Here is a 22,041-nt window from a genome sequence, read left to right as displayed (position 1 = left end):
ACAAAGTGGCCTGGCCAGTGCCTTGGAAAAAGATAATTAAGCAGGCATGGTGGCTCAGGCCTATAATCTCAGTGCTTTGGGAGGGCAAAGCAGGAAGATCACTTGAGGCCAGGAGTTTGAGATCAGCCTGCACAAGTTATCAAGGCTCCATCTCTACAGAATTTTTTTAAAAAACTAGTCTGGCATGGTGGCACACACCTGTAGTCCCAGCTACTCAGGAGGCTGAGACGGGATGATGTCTTGAGTCTAGAAGTTTGAGGCTGCAGTGAGCTGTGATTGTGCCACTGGACTCCACCCTGGGTATTGGAACAAAACCTTGTTTCTGTTAATAATAAAATTTAAAAACATATACCTAATCAATACAGTTTCCATTTTTAATGGAAACATTAAAATCCATCTTATAGGTAAAAAGACTTAAGCCCAAAGAAGTGCTTTGAAACACCATTTGAATATGCATTTGGAGGTCTGTTGGCAGGTCTCTCCCAATGTCTCCTCCCAGCATGGTTTCCTCCCTCTCTTTGTTATGTAACAAGAACAGTCTAAAATGTCTTCCATTGCAGTCAACATTTCATTCATTTTACATGCTTTTCCCTTTTTCTCACTTGGCACTTGGCTGTATTGCTTTCCCGAAGCTGTTGATCATGTAGAAGGTGAATGTGTTCCATGGGCCTATTCCTGTCTTTTCCCTCTGAGTTGCATGTGCTCAGTTGCATCTGATGTGATTTGTCATACGTGGATGGATGTCAGTGTCCCATGCTGCCTTCCTTCTCTCCTTTTCCTTCCCTCGTGGTTCCCTTGCCAGGAACAATGTATGTGTTTTGTGGAGTCTGTCTTACCCAAGGCCAGATGCCCTTGGCTGAACTCCAGGATGCATCCTGATCCTGTTTACAGGCGAGGAAGGACCAAGTCTGGGGCCCTGGAGAGATTGTGGGAGCATGAGAGTTAATCATCGCAGGCACATGTCACATCAAAACAAGCACATCCTTAGCCGGCTTCCTCTGGAGTTTGATGTCATGATCAGTGTGTTGTTTCCTGATGCTGAAGCCACGACAGATCTATATTATGCTGGTTTCCATCTTCTGAATTAAAATTGCCTCCTGCAAGGAAACAATGAATACTGAGAAGGCTGAACACGTTACTGGCCACATGTTCTTTCTCATCTCTGCATACTTCTAAAATGGAAACGGACCAATTTTTCTCCAGTGCTATTCTGTCTCCTGAACTACCTCTTTGTAAACATTTCCTAAGGGCTTTCATTTAATCAGGAGCCTATTTCCCAGGGATTTCAAGTGTGTACCTGACCTGGGTTTGTGAGCAAGGGAACCCAAACAGGATCAAAAATATTTTTTAAAAATGAATACATAAGAGCTTGGATTTGAGAGCCGCACTTTCTTTAAAACATAAATGATGATAAATGTGTTTTCATTTTATTTGAGAATTGGCTTTTCTCAAACTTAATAACAGTAAAATGGCTTTAGAATGAGAGAAAAATAGATACAGGGCTGAATCCTTCAGGTTTCAATCCTTCATTTATTCATTTATCATCTAATCAGAGAATATTGCTTGAATATTTGCTATGCGCCAGTCATTGTGCTAGATGCTGGGGAGGGTCAGTGCTGCCAAGCAATATATAGGCAACATAATTTGTTTAATTTGGCATTTCACAGCTCTTCACTGAGATTTTTAAAAAATACTTTAATAAAACGTAATAAACAGCTGTTGGGAAAAATAAAGATAGAAAATTATATGAAGTAAAAAGTAAAAGTGTCTCCTCCCCAATTTCCCTAGATTTAGATTTACTGGTAATTTGAATAACATTTTTTGTCTCCATATACTTTCTATATATTTACAATATTCCAGAATTTTTTTACACAAATGGATTAATATTATACAAAATTGCCTGGAAACATTTTTATTTACCAATGTTTTATGGGCTGTTTGTACTACCGGAGTGTGATTTTCTTTATTATTTTTAATGCTAGGAAATATGCCATTGGGTGAATGTACTGAAATTTATTAAACCTGTCCCCTATTGGAGACAACGTAGGTTTATTTTAACCCTGTTGCTGCTGTTCTTTTCTTTTTTTTTTGGTTTCTTTCAACTTGCAAACAATACCACAGTGAACTTCCTTGCACACTTATCTTTATATACATTCCTAAAATTGTGGAATTGTTGGGTCACACATGTTTTTTAAAGTTTGACAAAAACTGTCCTCCAAAAATTTGCATTGATATTATTGGTGTATGAAAATTCTTATTTTTCTGTAGGCTCTCCAATATAATTTTATATTGCTAATTAACAATTTGATATTTGCCAACTAATATGCAGTTTTAAAATCTTTGCCATTGTCTTAGTCCATTTCGCTACTATAATAGAGTATCTGAGATTGAGGAATTTATAAATAAAAGAAATTTATTTCTTGCAATTCTGGAGGCTAGGAAGTCCAAGATCTATGTACCAGCAGGTTTGGTGTCTGGTGAAGGCCCATCCCTCACAGATGGTGCTGTCCATATATCCTGGGATGGCAGAAGGGACTGGAGGGCAAAAGGGCTAGGTCATTTTTACCTCCCTGTACCTCTTTAGTTCATCTCCCTGAAAGCTATTCCATTTAAACATCATTGACACATCATTCTAAGAAAATAAGCACTTATCTCTATTTCTTGATTTATTCATTTTTAATATCCATTCTAGTTACAGAAGAGTAAGAATTTAAATCATTTATGTGCCCTTTTCCTCCCCACATTCCCATTGTTAATTTTTTAAAAATTAATTTATTAATTTAATCAAGTAATTCAATATTTTGTTAACTTTTATTTCTTAAGCTATTTATATTAGATACTATCTTTTAATTCCCAATATGTAGGAAGAAGTAATTAACACCCCTCTAAATTCATCAATCTAGCAACACTTTTATTCTCTCAAAGTCCTTTTTGTACCTAAGGGTTCTGTGCTTTCCCTTACATGGATCTTGAAAATTGAAAGCCAATAAATAGAAGTTGTAATGTTTTAATTTCAAACTATTGTTCAAAATGAGCTAATTAAACCTGCAGATTTGGGAATGTAATACCATGTTGTAAACCTATGCCACACAAATGAGAATGTTACAAGCCTCAACTTTTAAAAATTCTCTTTTTGTTCATTTTACTTGTGTAACCTTGAAGTGCAGCTTCTTTTTTTCTTCCTCCTAGAGTTTCTAATTGCCTTTCTTTTGTCTGATTAACTAATAGCTTATAATTATATTTTTCTTACCACCTTCTCCACTGTTCTCTTCCTGAAATTTATCAACGGAGAATTGTGGTATATTCAGGTTTTCTACATCTTCTATAGTCTTTCTTGATAAATTAAAATTTTTTTTTTTTTTTTTTTTTTTTTTTTTTTTTTTTTTTTGAGACGGAGTCTCGCTCTGTCGCCCAGGCCGGACTGCGGACTGCAGTGGCGCAATCTCGGCTCACTGCAAGCTCCGCTTCCCGGGTTCACGCCATTCTCCTGCCTCAGCCTCCCGAGTAGCTGGGACTACAGGCGCCCGCCACCGCGCCCGGCTAATTTTTTGTATTTTTAGTAGAGACGGGGTTTCACCTTGTTAGCCAGGATGGTCTCGATCTCCTGACCTCATGATCCACCCGCCTCGGCCTCCCAAAGTGCTGGGATTACAGGCGTGAGCCACCGCGCCCGGCCGATAAATTAAATTTTAAAAATTATTTCACCCGTATCTTCAATTTATGTGAGTAGAGTAATTCCTTATATATCCTCTGTGTCTTTGATTATGCTGTCTTTCACAATTTTACTTTTGTGTAATTATTTGATTTTTTTCTTGAGCAAACTCGTATTTATTATTCATGTCCTGAATTTATTTTTCCACTCTCCTTGTTCCTATTTTCTCATTCCTTAATTTCTGGTTTTGTCTTTATTGTCTCTTTCATTTTTCTTGAGATCTTACTGTTGTTACGTTTCTAACTTCTGGAGTTAATATGAAGTTTTCTACATATAATTAGTATCTGTGATATTGTGATATAATAAGAAATATATATTTGGTCTCTGCCCCTACTATCTGGCACAGTATTCTTAAAACTCTTATAATTTCCTGAGTGATAGGGGTGCTAGGTGCATCTTTGGTTCTAATATTTGATCTTTGACCCTGGTTCCTGACATAGAGCTCCTAATCCCTTGGAATTTCCTGGGTGATAGGAGTGTCTCTTGTTTCAGTGAGGCAATTTTTGGTGGTCTTTGGGGTGAGAGCTGGTCACCAGAAAGACCAAGCCATGACCAGAAGTTTCACCCCCACCCACCATCCTCCATGAAGGGGAGAGAGGCTGGAGGTTGAATTAATAATTGATCATGCCTACGTAATGAAGCTGCCACAGAAATCTCTGAACTACAGGGTTTGGCAAACTCCCAGGTTGCTGAACACAAGGAGGTGCTGGGCAAATGGTGTGTCCTGGAGCAGGCATGGAAGCTCCATGCCCCTTCCCCCATACCTTGCCCTGTGTATCTCTTCCATCTGACTGTTCATCTGTATCCTTTGCAATATCCTTTATAATAAAAGTAGAAATGTTTTTCCTTGAGTTCTGGTGAGCCACCCTAGCAAATTATAAAACCCAAGGAGTGGGTCGTGGGAACCCTGAATTATAGTTGGCTGGCCAGAAGCACAGGTCACAACCTGGGGCTGGCTGTTGGCCTCTGAGGTGGGAGCAGTTTTGTGAGACTTGTGGGACTGAGCCCACAAATCTGAGCCCACTTGTGGGACTGTGAGACTTGTGAGTCTGTTCTCATGCTGCTGATAAAGCCATACCTGAGACTGGGTAATTTATAAGTGAAAGAGGTTTCACTGACTCACAGTTCAGCATGGCTGGGGAAGCCTCAGGAAGGTTACAGTCATTGCAGAAGGGGAAGCAAACATGTCCTTCCTTACATGGAGGCAGCAAGGAGAAGTGCTGAGCAAAAGGGGAGAAAGCCCCTTATAAAACAGTCAGATCTCAGGAGAACTCACTCACTATCATGAGAACAGCAGCATGGGGGTAAACTATTTATTCCTATTTTCTCATTCCTACCCAGTGCCTCCCATGACACTTGGGGATTATGGGAACTACATTCAAGATGAGATTTGGGTGGGGACACAGCCAAACCATATCACCTGTGGAATCTAATGCCAGGTAAATAGCATCGGAGTTGAGTTAAATTGTAGGACACCCAGCTGGAGTCCAGCTGGAGAGTTGCTTGGTGTGTGGGGAAACTCCCTGCTCTCCTAGTATGACACCTGTTGTTAGAAGTGTTCTATGTTGAAAGGTGTGCTTTCTGATATTGGAAACGTGAGTGTGAGAGTGGGAAAAACAGTTTGGTTTTTCCTATCTCTTGGCAGTATCCAAGATTGATCTCCAGACCTATGAGAAAAAACAAAAATACCTAGGGAATCCTATGTAGCATGATAAATAGTTTATTTTTATAACATCAGTTTTTAAGTTTTTTGTTTTTTTTTTTTTTGAGACAGGATCTCACTCTGTCACCTGGGCTGAAATGCAGTGGCACCATCATAGTTCTCCATAACCTCGAATTCCTAGGCTCAAGCAATTCTCCCACATCAGCCTCCTGAATAGCTGAGACTGCAGGTGCATGCCACCATTCCCAGCTGATTTTTAATTTTTTCTTGTAGAGACAGGATCTCACTAAGTTGCCCAGGCTGGTTCAGCAGGAAACATTAATCATTTATGGGTACAACAAATACCAATGTCTTTTGCACCCCAAACACCTTTCGCATTGGAACAGGAGGGATATTGAGAGGATCACATTTGGGAACTCTCCCTCTGCAACATGCTGTCTTATACGCTAAGCCTGCCTTTCTCCTGCTCTCACCCTTCTGATTTGCTTCCTGTGATTTGAAAGTGGATTATTATAATTGTTTATTATTTTTCTTCATGAGAGCAACCCCAAAATATTATTTTGGAAATTATTCATGGCTTTGGATTAAGCCTTAATCTCTTATCAACTCTATCAATTAGGATTCTATCAAGAAACGTACAGGATAGTAAAAATAGGCAATACAAAGAGAATTTGATAAAGGGAGTTATTTACAAAGGTATGGGTAGCATGTCAAAAAATGACAAAGAATAGTTCAGAAGGTTAAGCAAATGGTAGTACTGCTACTATCTCCAGGCCGCAAGGGGTGAGGCAAGGCAAAGGTTACTAGGACCTGAGGCAGAGAGTACTGTGTGGAGAGGGCCAGCTGACAGGAATTGTGTTCTCAGATTCGAGGGATCAGCCAGCCAGGCTTGGCCCTGCAGGGAAGGAACCAGTGGAATAAATACTCTAATTTACTCTCCTCTTCAGACTTCTGTCACTACTTCCCATGGTCTGACACTGATGAAAAGCAAGAGGGCAATAGTGCTGTTGACATAACCTATGATTACATTTTATTATTTTTTGGGATGGAGTCTCGCCTTTTTGCCCAGGCTGGAGTTCAATGGTGCAATCTCGACTCACTGCAACCTCCACCTCCCGGGTTCAAACAATTCTCCTGCCTCAGCCTCTCAAGTAGCTGGGATTACAGGCACCTGCCACCATGCCCAGCTAATTTTTGTATTTTTAATAGAGATGGGGTTTCACCATGTTGGCCAGGCTGGTCTCGAACTCCTGACCTCATGATCTGCCCGCCTCGCCCTCCCAAAGTGATGAATAAAATCTTATGGGGCAGAGAACAAGTTGGAGAAAGAAAGGGCAAATGACAGATACTCAATACACTCACCTTGCCAGGGACCACTCATTTTAATCCTGCTCAGTTTCCAAAATTCATCCACTCAACTTGTCTGCAATAACCTTGTGGAGTTCTCTTACCATTTAAATTCTAATAATTACCTTCATTGTAAAAAAAATTTTGGTGACAAGTTCAATTTTTTTAATAGGTATACAGCTATTCAGATTTTCTATTTCTTCTTTTGTCTGCTTGGTTAAGTTGTTTTCAAGGAACTTATCGGTTTCATCTAAGTCATCCAACTTATTCCACAGGGTTGTTTATAACATCTATTTATTATACTTTTTATTATGTGCAGGATCTGCAGTGATACATTCTCTTTCATTTCTGATATTGGAAAGGCATGCTTTTTTCTTTCACCTTGATCAGTCTTGCTAGATGTTTGTCAATTTGATTAATAGCATTGAAGAACCAACTGTTGGTTTTAGTATTATTATTATTATTATATTTTAAGTTTTAGGGTACATGTGCACAATGTGCAGGTTAGTTACATATGTATACATGTGCCATGCTGGTGTGCTGCACCCATTAACTTGTCATTTAGCATTAGGTATATCTCCTAATGCTATCCCTCCCCACTCCCCACACCCCACAACAGTCCCCAGAGTGTGATGTTCCCCTTCCTGTGTCCATGTGTTCTCATTGTTCAATTCCCATCTATGAGTCAGAACGTGTGGTGTTTGGTTTTTTGTCCTTGCGATAGTTTACTGAGAATGATGATTTCCAATTTCATCCATGTCTCTACAAAGGACATGAACTCATCATTTTTTATGACTGCATAGTATTCCATGGTGTATATGTGCCACATTTTCTTAATCCAGTCTATCATTGTTAGACATTTGGGTTGGTTCTAAGTCTCTGCTATTGTGAATAGTGCCACAATAAACATACGTGTGCATGTGTCTTTATAGCAGCATGATTTATAGTCCTTTGGGTATATACCCGGTAATGGGATGGCTGGGTCAAATGGTATTTCTAGTTCTAGATCCCTGAGGAATCGCCACACTGACTTCCACAATGGTTGAACTAGTTTACAGTCCCACCAACAGTGTAAAAGTGTTCCTATTTCTCCACATCCTCTCCAGCACCTGTTGTTTCCTGACTTTTTAATGATTGCCATTCTAACTGGTGTGAGATGGTATCTCATTGTGGTTTTGATTTGCACTTCTCTGACGGCCAGTGATGATGAGCATTTTTTCATGTGTCTTTTGGCTGCATAAATGTCTTCTTTTGAGAAGTGTCTGTTCATATCCTTCGCCCACTTTTTGATGGGGTTGTTTGTTTTTTTCTTGTAAATTTGTTTGAGTTCATTGTCGATTCTGGATAGTAGACCTTTGTCAGATGAGCAGGTTGCGAAAATTTTCTCCCATTTTGTAGGTTGCCTGTTCACTCTGATGGTAGTTTCTTTTGCTGTGCAGAAGCTCTTTAGTTTAATTAGATCCCATTTGTCAATTTTGGCTTTTGTTGCCATTGCTTTTGGTGTTTTAGACATGAAGTCCTTGCCCATGCCTATGTCCTGAATGGTAATGTCTAGGTTTTCTTCTAGGGTATTTATGGTTCGAGGTCTAACGTTTAAGTCTTTAATCCATCTTGAATTAATTTTTGTATAAGGTGTAAAGAAGGGATCCAGTTTCAGCTTTCTACATATGGCTAGCCAGTTTTCCCAGCACCATTTATTAAATAGGGAATCCTTTCCCCATTGCTTGTTTTTCTCAGGTTTGTCAAAGATCAGATAGTTGTAGATATGCGGCATTATTTCTGAGGGCTCTGTTCTGTTCCATTGATCTATATCTCTGTTTTGGTACCAGTACCATGCTGTTTTGGTTACTGTAGCCTTGTAGTATAGTTTGAAGTCAGGCAGCGTGATGCCTCCAGCTTTGTTCTTTTGGCTTAGGATTGACTTGGCGATGCGAGCTCTTTTTTGGTTCCATATGAACTTTAAAGTAGTTTTTCCAAATCTGTGAAGAAAGTCATTGGTAGCTTGATGGGGATGGCATTGAATGTATAAATTACCTTGGGCAGTATGGCCATTTTCACGATATTGATTCTTCCTCATGAGCATGGAATGTTCTTCCATTTGTTTGTATCCTCTTTTATTTCCTTGAGCAGTGGTTTGTAGTTCTCCTTGAAGAGGTCCTTCATGTCCCTTGTAAGTTGGATTCCTAAGTATTTTATTCTCTTTGAAGCAATTGTGAATGGGAGTTCACTCATGATTTGGCTCTCTGTTTGTCTGTTATTGTTGCATAAGAATGCTTGTGATTTTTGCACATTGATTTTGTATCCTGAGACTTTTCTGAAGTTGCTTATCAGCTTAAGGAGATTTTGGGCTGAGACAATGGGGTTTTCTAGATATACAATCATGTCGTCTGCAAACAGGGACAATTTGACTTCCTCTTTTCCCAATTGAATACCCTTTATTTCCTTCTCCTGCCGGATTGCCCTGGCCAGAATTTCCAACACTATGTTGAATAGGAGTGGTGAGAGAGGGCATCCTTGTCGTGTGCCAGTTTTCAAAGGGAATGCTTCCAGTTTTTGCCCATTCAGTATGATATTGGCTGTGGGTTTGTCATAGATAGCTCTTATTATTTTGAGATACGTCCCATCAATACCTAATTTATCGAGAGTTTTTAGCATGAAGGGTTGTTGAATTTTGTCAAAGACCTTTTCTGCATCTATTGAGATAATCATATGGTTTTTGTCTTTTGGTTCTGTTTATATGCTGGATTAGATTTATTGATTTGCGTATATTGAACCAGCCTTGCATCCCAGGGATGAAGCCCACTTGTTCATGGTGGATAAGCTTTTTGATGTGCTGCTGGATTGGGTTTGCCAGTATTTTATTGAGGATTTTTGCATCAATGTTCATCAAGGATATTGGTCTAAAATTCTTTTTTGGTTGTGTCTCTGCCTGGCTTTGGTATCAGGATGATGCTGGCCTCATAAAATGAGTTAGGGAGGATTCCCTCTTTTTCTGTCGATTGGAATGGTTTCTGAAGGAATGGTACCAATTCCTCTTTGTACCTCTGGTAGAATTCGGCTGTGAATCCATCTGGTCCTGGACTCTTTTGGTTGGTAAGCTATTGATTATTGCCACAATTTCAGATCCTGTTATTGGTCTATTCAGAGATTCAACTTCTTCCTGGTTTAGTCTTGGGAGGGTGTATGTGTCTAGGAATTTATCCATTTCTTCTAGATTTTCTAGTTTATTTGCGTAGAGGTGTTTGTAGTATTCTCTGATGGTAGTTTGTATTTCTGTGGGATCGGTGGTGACATCCCCTTTATCATTTTTTGTTGCGTCTATTTGATTCTTGTCTCTTTTTTTCTTTATTAGTCTTGCTAGCAGTCTATCAATTTTGTTGATCCTTTCAAAAAACCAGCTCCTGGATTCATTAATTTTTGAAGGGTTTTTTGTGTCTGTATTTCCCTCAGTTCTGCTCTGATTTTAGTTATTTCTTGCCTTCTGCTAGCTTTTGAATGTGTTTGCTCTTGCTTTTCTAGTTCTTTTAATTGTGATGTTAGGGTGTCAATTTTGGATCTTTCCTGCTTTCTCTTGTGGGCATTTAGTGCTATAAATTTCCCGCTACACACTGCTTTGAATGTGTCCCAGAGATTCTGGTATGTTGTGTCTTTGTTCTCGTTGGTTTCAAAGAACATCTTTATTTCTGCCTTCATTTTGTTATGTACCCAGTAGTCATTCAGGAGCAGGTTGTTCAGTTTCCATGTAGTTGAGCGGTTTTGAGTGAATTTCTTAATCCTGAGTTCTAGTTTGATTGCACTGTGGTCTGAGAGACAGTTTGTTATAATTTCTGTTCTTTTACATTTGCTGAGGAGAGCTTTACTTCCAACTGTGTGGTCAGTTTTGGAATAGGTTGGTTTTATTGATTTTCTCTATCATTTGTTTTCTATTTCATCAATATCTTTACTATTTCCTTTTTTCTACTTAATGTGCTCTGCTTTATCTAGCTTCTAAATGTGGGAACTTAGATCATTACTTAAAAACCTTTCTTATTTTCTAATATAAACATTTAAAAGCTGTAAATTTCCCTCTAACCGTTGGCTGCATAACACACATTTTTATGTATTGTATTTTCACTGCCTTTTAGTTTGAAATATTTTCTAATTTGTCTTGTGATTTCTTTTTTGGCTTATGGGTTAGCTAGAAATGTATTGTTTGATTTCCAAATCTTTGGGGATTCAGTAGGAATCTAATTTATATTGATTTCTGATTTGATTTTCAAGATTTCAATTATTTGAAATTTATTGAACATTATATTTTAATGGGGCAGCATTTTTTATCTTGGTAAATGTTACATATATTCTTGAGAAGACTATTCTTCTCTGTTAAGTGTGATATTCTATACACATCAATTAGATAAAGGAGATTGATAGTATTGTTAACAACTTCTATATCTTTACTGATTTTTTTGTCAACTTGTCCTATAAATCATTAATGGGTGTCCTATAAATCAATAAGTGGGGGGTGAAAATGTCTAAATATAATTGTGGGTTTATCTAATTATTCCTTTAGTTGTGTTTGTTTTTACATTATTTCTTTTGAAGCTCTTTTATTAGGTACATGAACAATTAAGATTGTTGTTTTCTTGATTGACTCCATTATCATTATGTTTCCCTCTTCTTTATTGCAATACTAAGTACTGTAGCTACACTATCATTCTTATACTTATTGTTTGCATGTTATAACCTTCCTTCATCCTGCTACGTTCAAGCTATCTGTATCTTTATGTATGAAACTAAGCAGTTGTAGAGAGCCTATGTTGAGTCTCATTTTTTAAATCCAATCTAACAATCTCTACCTTTTAACTGAAGTGTGCTTCATTTTCATTTTATATGATTATTGACATGGTTGTGTTTAAGTCTAACAGCTTGCTATTTTTTTTATATTTTTCTCATGTTTTTGTTGTTCTGTTCTTCCTTTCATTTTTAGGGAGACTTTTAGGGCCTAACGAAATAGGTATTTTAGTATCCCATCCTATCTCCTCTGTTGACTTTTTAGCTAAAACTTCTTGCATTTGTTTATTTAGTGATTACACTAGGGTTTAAAATATGCATGCTTAACTTATTCCTTTCTACTTAGAGATACTGTTGTAATACTTCAAATAAACATGAGAAAGTTATATATAATTTAACTTTAGGATTGAAAGTTAATTTCATCCTTTAGTTAATGTTATCATGTATTTGCTTTTAAGTACATTGTAACTCTCCAATTAAAATGTTTCTTTTTTTTTGCTTTAAGGAATCAATTTTCTTTCAAAATAATCAAGAGAAAGAAGTATTTCATATTTATAATTTCTGGGTTTTTTTAACCTTTTTGTAAATTTGGATTTTTTAAAAAAAATTGTTTAAAATAATTTTTGTGGGTACATATTAGGTATATATATTTTTAGGGTACATGAGATACTTTGATAGAGATAAGCAATAAGTAATAATAGCATTGTGGAAAATGGGGTATCCATCCCCTCAAGCATTTATCCTTTGTGTTACAAACAATACAATTATACTCTTTTAGTTATTTTAAGATGGATGATTAAATTATTACTGACTGTAGTCACCCTGTTGTGCTATCAAATACTAGATCTTATTCATTCTTTCTAACCATATATTTTTTGGTACTGATTAACTATCTCCACTCCTCCCTCTTCCCCCAGCTACCCTTCCCAGCCTCTGGTAACCATCCTTCTACTGTCTATCTGCATGAGTTCAATTGTTTTGAGTTTTAGCAACCACAAATAAGTGAGAACATGTGAAGTTTGTCTTTCTGTGCTTGACTTATTTCACTTAACATAATGATCTCCAGTTCCATCCATATTATTGCAAATGACTGGATCTCATTCTTTATGGCTGAATAGTACTCCATTGTGTATATGTACCACATTTTCTTTATCCAGTCATCTGTTGGTGGACATTGAGATTGCTTGCAAATTTTGGCTATTCTGAACAGTGCTGCAACAAACTTGGGGGTGCAGATATCTCTTTGATATACCAATTTCCTTTCTTTTGGTTATATACCTAGCAGTGGGATTGCTGAATCATATTGGTAGCCCTATTTTTAGTTTTTTGAGGAAGCCCTAATCTGTTCTGTATAGTGGTTGTACTAATTTACATTCTCACCAACAGTGTGCAAGGGTTCTGTTTTCTCCATAACCTCGCTAGCATTTATTGCCTGTCTTTTGAATAAAAACCGTTTTAGTTGGGCTGAGATTGTGTGTCTTTGTAGTTTTTATTTGCTTTTCTCTGATAATCATCAGTGATGCCAAGCACCTTTTTATATCCCTGTTTGCCATTCGTGTGTCTTCTTTTGAGAAATGTCTATTCAAATCTTTTGCCCATGTTTAATTTGGATTATTAGATTTTTTCCTGTAAAGTTGTTGGAGCTCTTTATATATTCTCATTATTAATCTGTTGTCAGATGGGTAATTTGCAAATATTTTCTTCCATTCTGTGGGTTGTCTCTTCACTTTGTTGATTGTTTCCTTCACTGTGCACAAGCTTTTTAACTTGATATGATCCCACTTGTCCATTTTTGCTTTGGTTGCTTGTGCTTGTGGGATATTACTCAAGACATTTTTGCCCAGACCAACATTCTGGAAGGTATCCCTGACTTTTTCTTGTAGTAGTTTCGTAGTCTGAGGTCTTAGATTTAAGTCTTTAATCCATTTTGATTTGACTTTTGTATATAGTGAGAGATAGCCATCAAGTTTCATTCCTCTGAATTTGGATATCCAGTTTTCCCAGGATCATTTGTTGAAGAAGCCATCATTTCTCCAATGTATGTTGCTGGCACTTCTGTTGAAAATGAGTTCTGCATTACATTGTAGGTATATAGATTTGTTTCTGGGTTCTCTATTCTGTTCCTTTGGTCTGTATGTCTGTTCTTATGCCAGTACCATGCTTTGGTTAGTATAGCTCTGTAGTATAATTTGAAGTCAGGTAATGTGATTCTTCCAGTTTTGTTCTTTTTTCCCTCCGGATAGTTTTGGCGATCCTCATTTTTTTGTGGTTTCATATAAATTTCAAGATTGTTTTTTCTATTTCTGTGAAGAATGTCATGGGTATTTTGATAGGGAATGCATTGCATCTGTAGATTGCTTTGGGTAGTATGGACATTTTAACAACATTGATTCTTCCAATCCATGAACATGGAATATCTTTCCATTTTTTGGTATCCCCCTCAATTTCTTTCATCAGTGCTTCATGTTTTCAGTGTATAGACCTTTTACTTCCTTGGCTATGTTAATTCCTAGACATTTAGTTTTATTTATAGCTATTATAAATGAGATTATGTTTTTGAGTTGTTTTTCACATTGTTAACTGTTGGCATATAGAAATGCTGCTGATTTTCGTATGTTGATTTTATATCTGCAACTTTACTGAATTTGTTTCTCAGTTCTAATAGTTTTCTGGGGGAGTCTAAGTTTTTCCATATGTAAGATCGTGTCATCTGCAAACAAGGATAATTTGACTTCTTCCTTTCCAAAGTGGATGCCCTTTATACGTTTCTCTTGTCTGATTGCTCTAGCTAGGACTTCCAGAACTCTGTTGAATAGGATTGGTGAGATACTGCATCCTTATCTCATGCTGGTTTTCAAGGGGAATGCTTCCAGCTTTTGCCCATTCAGTATGATGTTGGACACGGGTTTTTCATAGATGGCTCTTATTATCTTGAAGTATGTCTCTACAATGCCTAGTTTGCTGAGAGTTTTCAACATGAAGTGATGTTGAATTTTATCAAGTCTTTTCTGTACTCATTGAGGTGATCATGTGGCTTTTGTTTTTAGTTCTGTTTAAGTAATGAGTCACATTTGTTGATTTGCATATATTGAATCAACCTTGCATCCCAGGGAGAAATCCTGTTTGGTTGTGGTGGATGAGCTTTTTGATGTGCTGCTGGATTCAGTTTGCTAGTATGTTACGAAGGATTTTTGCATCTATGTTCGTCAAGAATATTGGCCTGAATTTTCCTTTATTTTGCTGTGTCTAAACTGATTAATTAAAAATAAATGGATTAATAGCAGTGTTTTAAGACAAAACTGTAACCTATATGACTAAAATTTTATGTTTACTTAGTATTTCTCTTACATGTAGTTTAGATTTTTCATTTCTTAATAACGGAATTGCATGATTTTTCCCAAAAATCAGTTTTCATTTTGATTGATATCTATATTGTATATTTACTTTATTTACTTTGTATTATTTATGTCTTAAGGAACAGCAAATTTCTTAAAACTTAGATTATAAACTTCTGTGACCTCTTCTCCTTTTGTTCATTTCTTTACAGCACCATTTCTTTACAGCAAATATCTATGTAGTAAGGGAAGTGTGATAGTGCAGGACATCAACATTTTGGTGCTAAATTAAGATTGTCTGGATTTGGATCTCACTTCTGGCGCTCAACAACTGTGAAATCTTGATCAATTTTTCTATTTTCTTTAAGCCTCATCCATAAAATAAGGATAATCATTATGCTATCTCCTAGTAGATGTTTTAAAAGATGGTTTTAATCCATACAAAAGCACTCGACTTAATGTCTGGTATGTAGAATGTGTTAATAATATCCAGTCCTTAAAATACAATATTGATTTATTATGTAAAAAATGAAACATGAAGAGGCAGCATAGGAGAATGGAAAAGAGACAGAAAGTATCTGTTTTGCTTCTAACTCTGCCTCTTATTATTTGTGTGATCTCAGCTAAACCCTTTAAACTTTCCAGTATGCACTATCTTGTAAAATGAGCAGAAAAGGTCATCCTTGCCTGCTTCACAGTTTTGTGCAAGAATCAATCAGGCTAGCATTTTATAGCTTATATAACAATAATAAAAACAAAACTTTATGCAAAAAGGGAAATACAAACAATTTCATGAGACAGTGGGGCTGGGCATGGTGGCTCATGCCTGTAATCCCAGTACTTTGGGAGGCCAAGGCGGGTGGATCACCTGAGGTCGAAAGTTCGAGACCAGCCTGACCAACATAAAGAAACCCTGTCTCTACTAAAAATACAAAATTAGCCGGTCGTGGTGGCGCATACCTGTAATCCCAGCTACTCGGGAGGCTGAGGCAGGAGAATCGCTTGAACCCAGGAGGCAGAGATTGTGGTGAGCTGAGATTGCGCCATTGCACTCCAGCCTGGGAAACAAGAGGGAAACTCCATCTCAAAAATAATGATGATAATAATAAGACAATGATTTGATAAATTAAATGGGTCAATCCTAATATTTCTCTACCAGAATCACTCTACTATAAAAAAAAAAAAACATAAAAAAAAATAAAAAGTTTATTTCCTCAGCTTTGTCCTGGGATGATTCCCTTGTGAGCTGCCAGTTTCTTCTAGGTGAACCACTGCTTTGTGAGGAAAGATATGCTTAGTCTTATCTGAAATTTAATGAAGATTTACATATTTCATTAGAAAAATTATAAAAAAAGAATAAGTTGCACATTTCAAATATGGATACAACATGTATGCTTCATATGCACGTGGCACACGTGTGAGCATAAATGTGTGTTTCTGTTTAATGAAGAACATACTTGAAGAAGCAAACTGTAGTTATAAAGCCCAAATTGTGGAAATTTAAAGTAAGGGCTGGACTCCGATGACATTCTTAATTGCTCAAAAAGCTCTTTCGGGATATTGCCAGATGTTATGACCTCTTGCCAAAAGCATCTTGAGTTTTCCAGACATGTGTATATGATGTAGATATTTTATCCCATTTTCTAGGAAGAAGCGTTCTTGGGATAATAGTTCCAGAGGGAGGACTGGGGCACCTCTCAGTACCTGCTCTGCTGTGTGGAATCCAGTCAGGTGGTAGAACCCATACTAGTAATTTGAAGAAGGAAATTTAATATAAAGAGTTCTCAACTAGGTAAACAGTTGAGTTCAAAAAGGAATATAGAGATTTCTGTGGTTTAGTTGGGGTAGCAGCTATAGAAAGTAATCACTATCCTTAGGGTTTAGGGAAAAATAAACAAGGGAGGCAGAAAGGGTGGGTGAAATTTTAAAAGGGTAAACAGACTGCTGTTTTTAGCAGAGGAGTTTTTCTGTATGGCAATTGCTGTGAAATATGACATTCCTGAGGCCATTTTATGTCTGGGAGTTTCTGGAATACCACCTGAAATTACTACTTTAGGAGGAAAGAAGATATTTTCCCTCAAAATGTTTTGTTTTTTTTTTCTAAATCTAAGCAATGAAAACAATTGACAGAACCACAAACTGTGTGCCACAGAGTTTCACTTACCACATAATGAATTCATGGATTCCCCACTCCCCAATATTCACTGACTTGAATGTAGAAAGTTCTAGGCTTTGTCCTCTGGGAGATATAATGATGTGAATTCCTTTAACTTGGTATCTCTGAGGGGAAAGAAAAATACTTAAAAGTCACTGTAATACAAAGTAGAATGTGGTTAAGAGTTACATAAAGATAGTAGATACATGCAGAAGAAAAGTTATAATAAGAATTTCTATTTGTCTATGGGCTTTACCGTCTTCGTGGCACTTTTCGTACGGTTCATCTCATTGGGGTTATCAAAATAACTATGAATAGGCTAGATATTATTATCCCTATTTTACACATGAGGAATGCGAGGTTTAAAAGTGACCTCCTCCCAAATCTCACAAGTAATAATTGGCAGAGTAGGGATTTAAGCCATACCTCTTGAAACCCAATCACTTGGTCTTCCTAAAGCAACTCAATACTCTCAGAAAAGTGTTAAACTACTTATCATGAGTAGGACTCCATTTTGATATTGGAAGACGCAATCCATTTTCTCATTCAGAGGCCCCACACTTCAAAAGTTAAATGGGGTAGAGGAACATGTTAACTAATAGAGAACCTGCACAGAAAAGCAAGTAAAGTCCCCATCGAGGTGAAACAGTAGGAAACTTTTTGAACGGCTGAAAATGATCCCTGCAGAAGAAGTGAATAAAACTCTCAGGCTGAGGTGGGCACAGCTGGATCTCCCTTGCTAACTGCATGATTTCTGGCCTCCTTCCTAGAAACTCCCTGACATGTTTCTGGAAGCTCAGTCACAAAGTCAGGGGAAGGTTATCTGAGACAGAGCCGTTCTGATGTACTTGAAAAGATCTTCTCTTCCCCAGCCAATAGCCTGTCTCACAGCGGGCGTCACAAGTGCTGAGTCACTTGCTGAGCGAATAGCTCAAAGACAAGCTCCCATTGATCAGGCTGCCCAGAACAAAACCATTCCGGTCCCTCAAGAATTTAAGCCACTTGTAAGCTGCATTCTTTACATTCAGCTCATAACATAGCTCTGCATAGGTCCCCTTGCTCCACATAACACTTTAAATTTCTGGTCATGGGCATACACGACCTTCCGCATTCTTTTCCCTTGAATAGATGCTTTTACTCTGAAGAGTTTAAGCATGTTCTTATCTAGTTCATAGTGTTACCTGCATGCAGCCAAGTCTTGCTCCTTTTAGGGAGTGGTGTTTTTTCACCTTGAACAGTTAGCCTTTTCTTTTAGTGGCGCATCTCCCCAGAGCACAAGAAGAGCCCTCAAGGAGAGGGGCTTCGGGAAATCCATGGCTGTGCATTACCTCTTTTTTGTTCATCTCTCTCTCCTTCATCACATCTCACAGGTCATTTGTCCTGTTGGACCAAAACATCGCCATGGTAAGGAACCTTTCAGCCAGGGACATGTTGGCTAAAGACAGTTGTAAGTAACTGTTACTGGCCCATGTTTTATTTCAAAGCTGTTTGGGTCGGACTTATTTCACCCATCTCAAAAAGTTATTCCTTCTAATCCCATTAATGAATATGCTAGAGTAGAAGGCAAAATTCAGAGCAGGCAACAAAATGTAATGTAGTGGGCACAAATTAAATACTTATTCAACTGGGTTTAGATTCAATTAAGTTATCAATTTTGAAATAGAGATTTTCCACTAATATGGAAAATATTTTCAATTATAAATTCTTAATGAAGATATTCACTTTAACATTTCTTTTTTTTTTTTTTTTTGAGGCAGAGTCTCGCTCTGTTGCCCAGGCTGGAGTGCAGTGGTGCAATCTCGGCTCACTGCAATCTCCACCTCCCGGACTCAAGCGATTTCTCCTGCCTCAGCCTCCCAAGTAGCTGGGACTACAGGCACGCATCACCACACCTGGCTAATTTTTGTACTTTTAGTAGAGATGGGGTTTTGCCATGTTGCCCAGGCTGGTCTTGAATGCCTGAGGTCAAGTGATCCCCCTGCTTTGGCCTCCCTAAGTGCTGGGATTACAGGCATGAGCTACTGCGCCCAGACACTTTAACATTTTTTTAAATTGCATCATAGGGCTTAGAGATCTTTGCATATAGTAGATAATTACTATGTACCCATTATACATGAATGAATGGATGAACTAATGATGAATGTAAATTCCCACACTTGAATCTGAATAAACTTATAGACATAGGATAGAGAAATGCCTTGATAGGAGCATTTCTTTTATTTACTGTATTCTTAAAATACAATTTATATTTTAACTGAATACATTAAAAGTGCAGATATATTAGGTCAATACTTACAATACACAAATTCTTACTGTGTGTCTTACAATATGTAAAACATTGTAATAGGTTCTGTGGGGACCTCAAAGATTAAACAGACACTGAAATTACTGTAAAGGGACTTAGATACAAATCGCATAATGAAAAGGGAAGATGATCAATGATTTAAGGGGTCTGTGAAGCATCTCCTGCAGGAATTGGACATCTCTTCTGATCTCCCAAAGCTTTGGGATTCCTGTACCCATCACAGGCAATAGCGGCAAAGCAGTTCATTTCTTCCCTCTCCAATCACAGAAACGTCTGTTGTTAAGTAAGCTGTCATTCTCCTCAAAAAAAAACAACAACAACAACAAAAAAAACAAAACAAAACCAAAAAACCTCTTCCGCTGTGTCTATGAGAGAACTCACACTGCCCGGCCGTCTTCCTGAAAAGTTGTTCTTATTGCCTCATTAAATGATATGATATCCCCTTTTCTGTGTAAAGTTATTTGTCCTCTCAAGAGATGTATTTGTCTACTGTCTCCCAGTCCAGGATAATGAATTTATTTTGCACTTTCAGCTTCAATGCAGTGTAAGCAGATTAGGGTCCATCCTCACACCTAAACAGTATGATGTAAAGCAGAGCTTTCTGTTTTCTCTTCCACCACATATCACATGCTTTGTTAGCTCTTTGTCAATGTGATTAGGAAACCACACCGCTAATCTAGTGGGAGTGCAGGTGTTTTTTTTTGATGCAATGCCAATTGATTGATGGCTAAATATTACTAAATATCCCTGGGAAAACATTACCTCATACGAGGAACAAAGTTATAACCATTGCTGTATTTAACACACAAATTCCACAAGAAACCTCTTTGTTCTTCCTGACAGCTCTTGACTAATTTCATTTTCATTTTTTCAGAATAAAAACTGCATATCAGTGTTGGTTATGTTGGCTCACCACCTCCATGATATGGAAACATTCAGAACATTTATTTAAGAAAATAGGTTGTGTATTTTCACACTACCTACACACTATGGAACAGATATCTAAAACTGGTGCTGTCAGAATTCAAAAACTATGGCTGGTAGACCTGGTTGCTCAGTGTAATATGAGTAGGCACATGTATTAATTGTTCCCTAGAACAATTGTTAATGGAGTCTACAATTTATGTCACCTTATTCCTGCAATGGTTTTTAAATAAAAGGAATGAGCAGCAAGAGTATAAATATACTTGCATATTGTTTGCCAGAAAAGCTTTCATCCTTAGGTGATCTCCCATCTAGAGTCATTCTCAATGTCAGTGTTATTCTGCTTTCTCTTCTTTGATCCTTTTGTCTTTTCCTAATTGAGTCTTGTATGTCAGAAATATCCAGCAATCTGGGATATCAGAAAAAAAATTTTTAGACTACTATGACCCTTGGACCAAATTTTGAAAAAAAAAATTATTGTCATGTTAATCCCAAATATGCCAAAGCCTTCTCTTATATTTAAAGGGACCTTCCAACTTTCTATTAGATATTTTTCACTTTGAGTTTTTATTTTCTATTGCTATTATGTTAAAAAAAAAAGTCAAAGAATCAGTTTCTTTCCATAGGAAGTTATTCATATATTGTTTCAAATCCTGTTATGTGGTTTTTCGCAGCTAACATGATTTTTCATTGCTAGAGGTCAGAGGAATATACGCTAAAAATTATTACTTTGATTTAAAGTGACTCTAGAAAAATGGTCAATGGTTTATGGTGTTTCCCTGTGTGTGGAATGATGATAGGCCTGGGAATTGTATGAGAGAAGTTCAGGTAGGGGAATTGAGAGACTGAAAAGATGGAAGTTGCTAGAGGGACGGGGAGGGAGGTGAACTTCACTTTTATAATGGGGTGGAGCTGTCTATGTGCTGAATACAGTAATGCTATTACAATTCATGATTAGCATCTCCTGAGAAACTGGTTTGGATGGTCCTCTACACCCAACTGAACTGCAGAATTACAGATGCAGGAGCATATTTTCTATAAATTGTAGCCCAAGGTCTACTTAAGTGAACTTTGACATTCAATTCAAATTGGTTTTTTAGACTGACACCTCTGTCTCAAAGAGTACAATTCTGGTCTTGACACCTTCCATGTATATGTATACGTATACGTATATGTATATGTATATGTATGTGTATAGTGTGTGTCAAATCTTTGAATGCAGGGCCAAGAAGTTAGGTGAGTTTTTCTTACCAGGATTTTCTTCAAAGGCTTAAAAAATTATCAAACCCATAAATATGACTGAGCTGCCACATTTGTAGGAGAAATCATATAACCATGACTCAGTAACTTCAACTTTGATATTTATGATGCTCAGCCATGAAATCTCTTTGCCTCCTGATTCCTATGACATATGTTCTCTACTTCAACTATCATGAGCCGCATCTAAGAGCTCCTCATTTTATTGAGGCTCTAGACTCATTTAAGATCTGATAATAAGCTTCTTAACTATTTCATAGTCTCCCATTCCTAATGTAACTGTGTTTTCTGACCTCAAAATATATTGAGCACCTACTCTACACCAGGCCCTCTTCTAAGTACTGCGAGCATAGTGATGGACTTAGAACTAGTGTCCCTTTTATGACAGAGCTCAGAGTCCAGTGGGAGGAGCAGACAAGTCAGTATTTTATCTATAGTGTTACTTATATATAACCCACACACATATATGAAAATATATATGTGTATATATAAAGATGTATATAAGGATATATATGTATATATACACATATTTTTATATATGTGTGTTATTATATCCTTATATATACACACACA

The 22,041-nt window shown here is 37.3% G+C and overlaps 2 long non-coding RNA genes across 2 annotated transcripts in view, besides 4 other annotated features; one reads left to right on the top strand and one right to left on the bottom strand.

Moving 5' to 3' along the window:
* The window catches only part of LOC105370777 (uncharacterized), a 556,255-nt gene that overhangs the window by 189,472 nt on the left and 344,742 nt on the right, over positions 1 to 22,041 (top strand). The window lies entirely within an intron of this gene.
* LOC124903467 (uncharacterized) lies at positions 1,010 to 20,679 on the bottom strand. The gene is made up of 3 exons (XR_007064589.1): positions 17,409 to 20,679; positions 16,992 to 17,107; positions 1,010 to 1,097 (listed from the first exon to the last, which is right to left on the bottom strand). It is a non-coding gene; the product is annotated as an uncharacterized LOC124903467 (long non-coding RNA).
* Positions 2,260 to 2,429: an enhancer, noted in NCBI's record as "experimental_39382 CRE fragment used in MPRA reporter constructs". NCBI's record gives its function as "activates a minimal promoter by MPRAs in K562 erythroleukemia cells, with activity observed for the non-introgressed 15:39521446 variant allele {active_cell/tissue: K562}" and the evidence as "EXISTENCE:reporter gene assay evidence [ECO:0000049][PMID:34662402]".
* Positions 17,298 to 18,497: an enhancer, noted in NCBI's record as "P300/CBP strongly-dependent group 1 enhancer chr15:39505293-39506492 (GRCh37/hg19 assembly coordinates)". NCBI's record gives its function as "activates an origin of replication core promoter dependent on BRD2, BRD4, P300/CBP, MED14 and CDK7 cofactors, with strong dependence on P300/CBP, by STARR-seq in HCT116 cells {active_cell/tissue: HCT116}" and the evidence as "EXISTENCE:reporter gene assay evidence [ECO:0000049][PMID:35650434]".
* Positions 17,298 to 18,834: a biological region, named in NCBI's record as "P300/CBP strongly-dependent group 1 enhancer GRCh37_chr15:39505293-39506492".
* Positions 18,303 to 18,834: an enhancer, noted in NCBI's record as "H3K27ac hESC enhancer chr15:39504956-39505487 (GRCh37/hg19 assembly coordinates)". NCBI's record gives its function as "activates a minimal SCP1, AML or CMV promoter by ChIP-STARR-seq in primed H9 embryonic stem cells {active_cell/tissue: H9 hESC(primed)}" and the evidence as "EXISTENCE:reporter gene assay evidence [ECO:0000049][PMID:30033119]".

Source organism: Homo sapiens, chromosome 15, assembly GCF_000001405.40.
Source record: "Homo sapiens chromosome 15, GRCh38.p14 Primary Assembly".
Taxonomy (NCBI): domain Eukaryota; kingdom Metazoa; phylum Chordata; class Mammalia; order Primates; family Hominidae; genus Homo; species Homo sapiens.
Note: the sequence above shows the minus strand (reverse complement) of the source record. Positions and strands in the feature narration are given on the sequence as shown.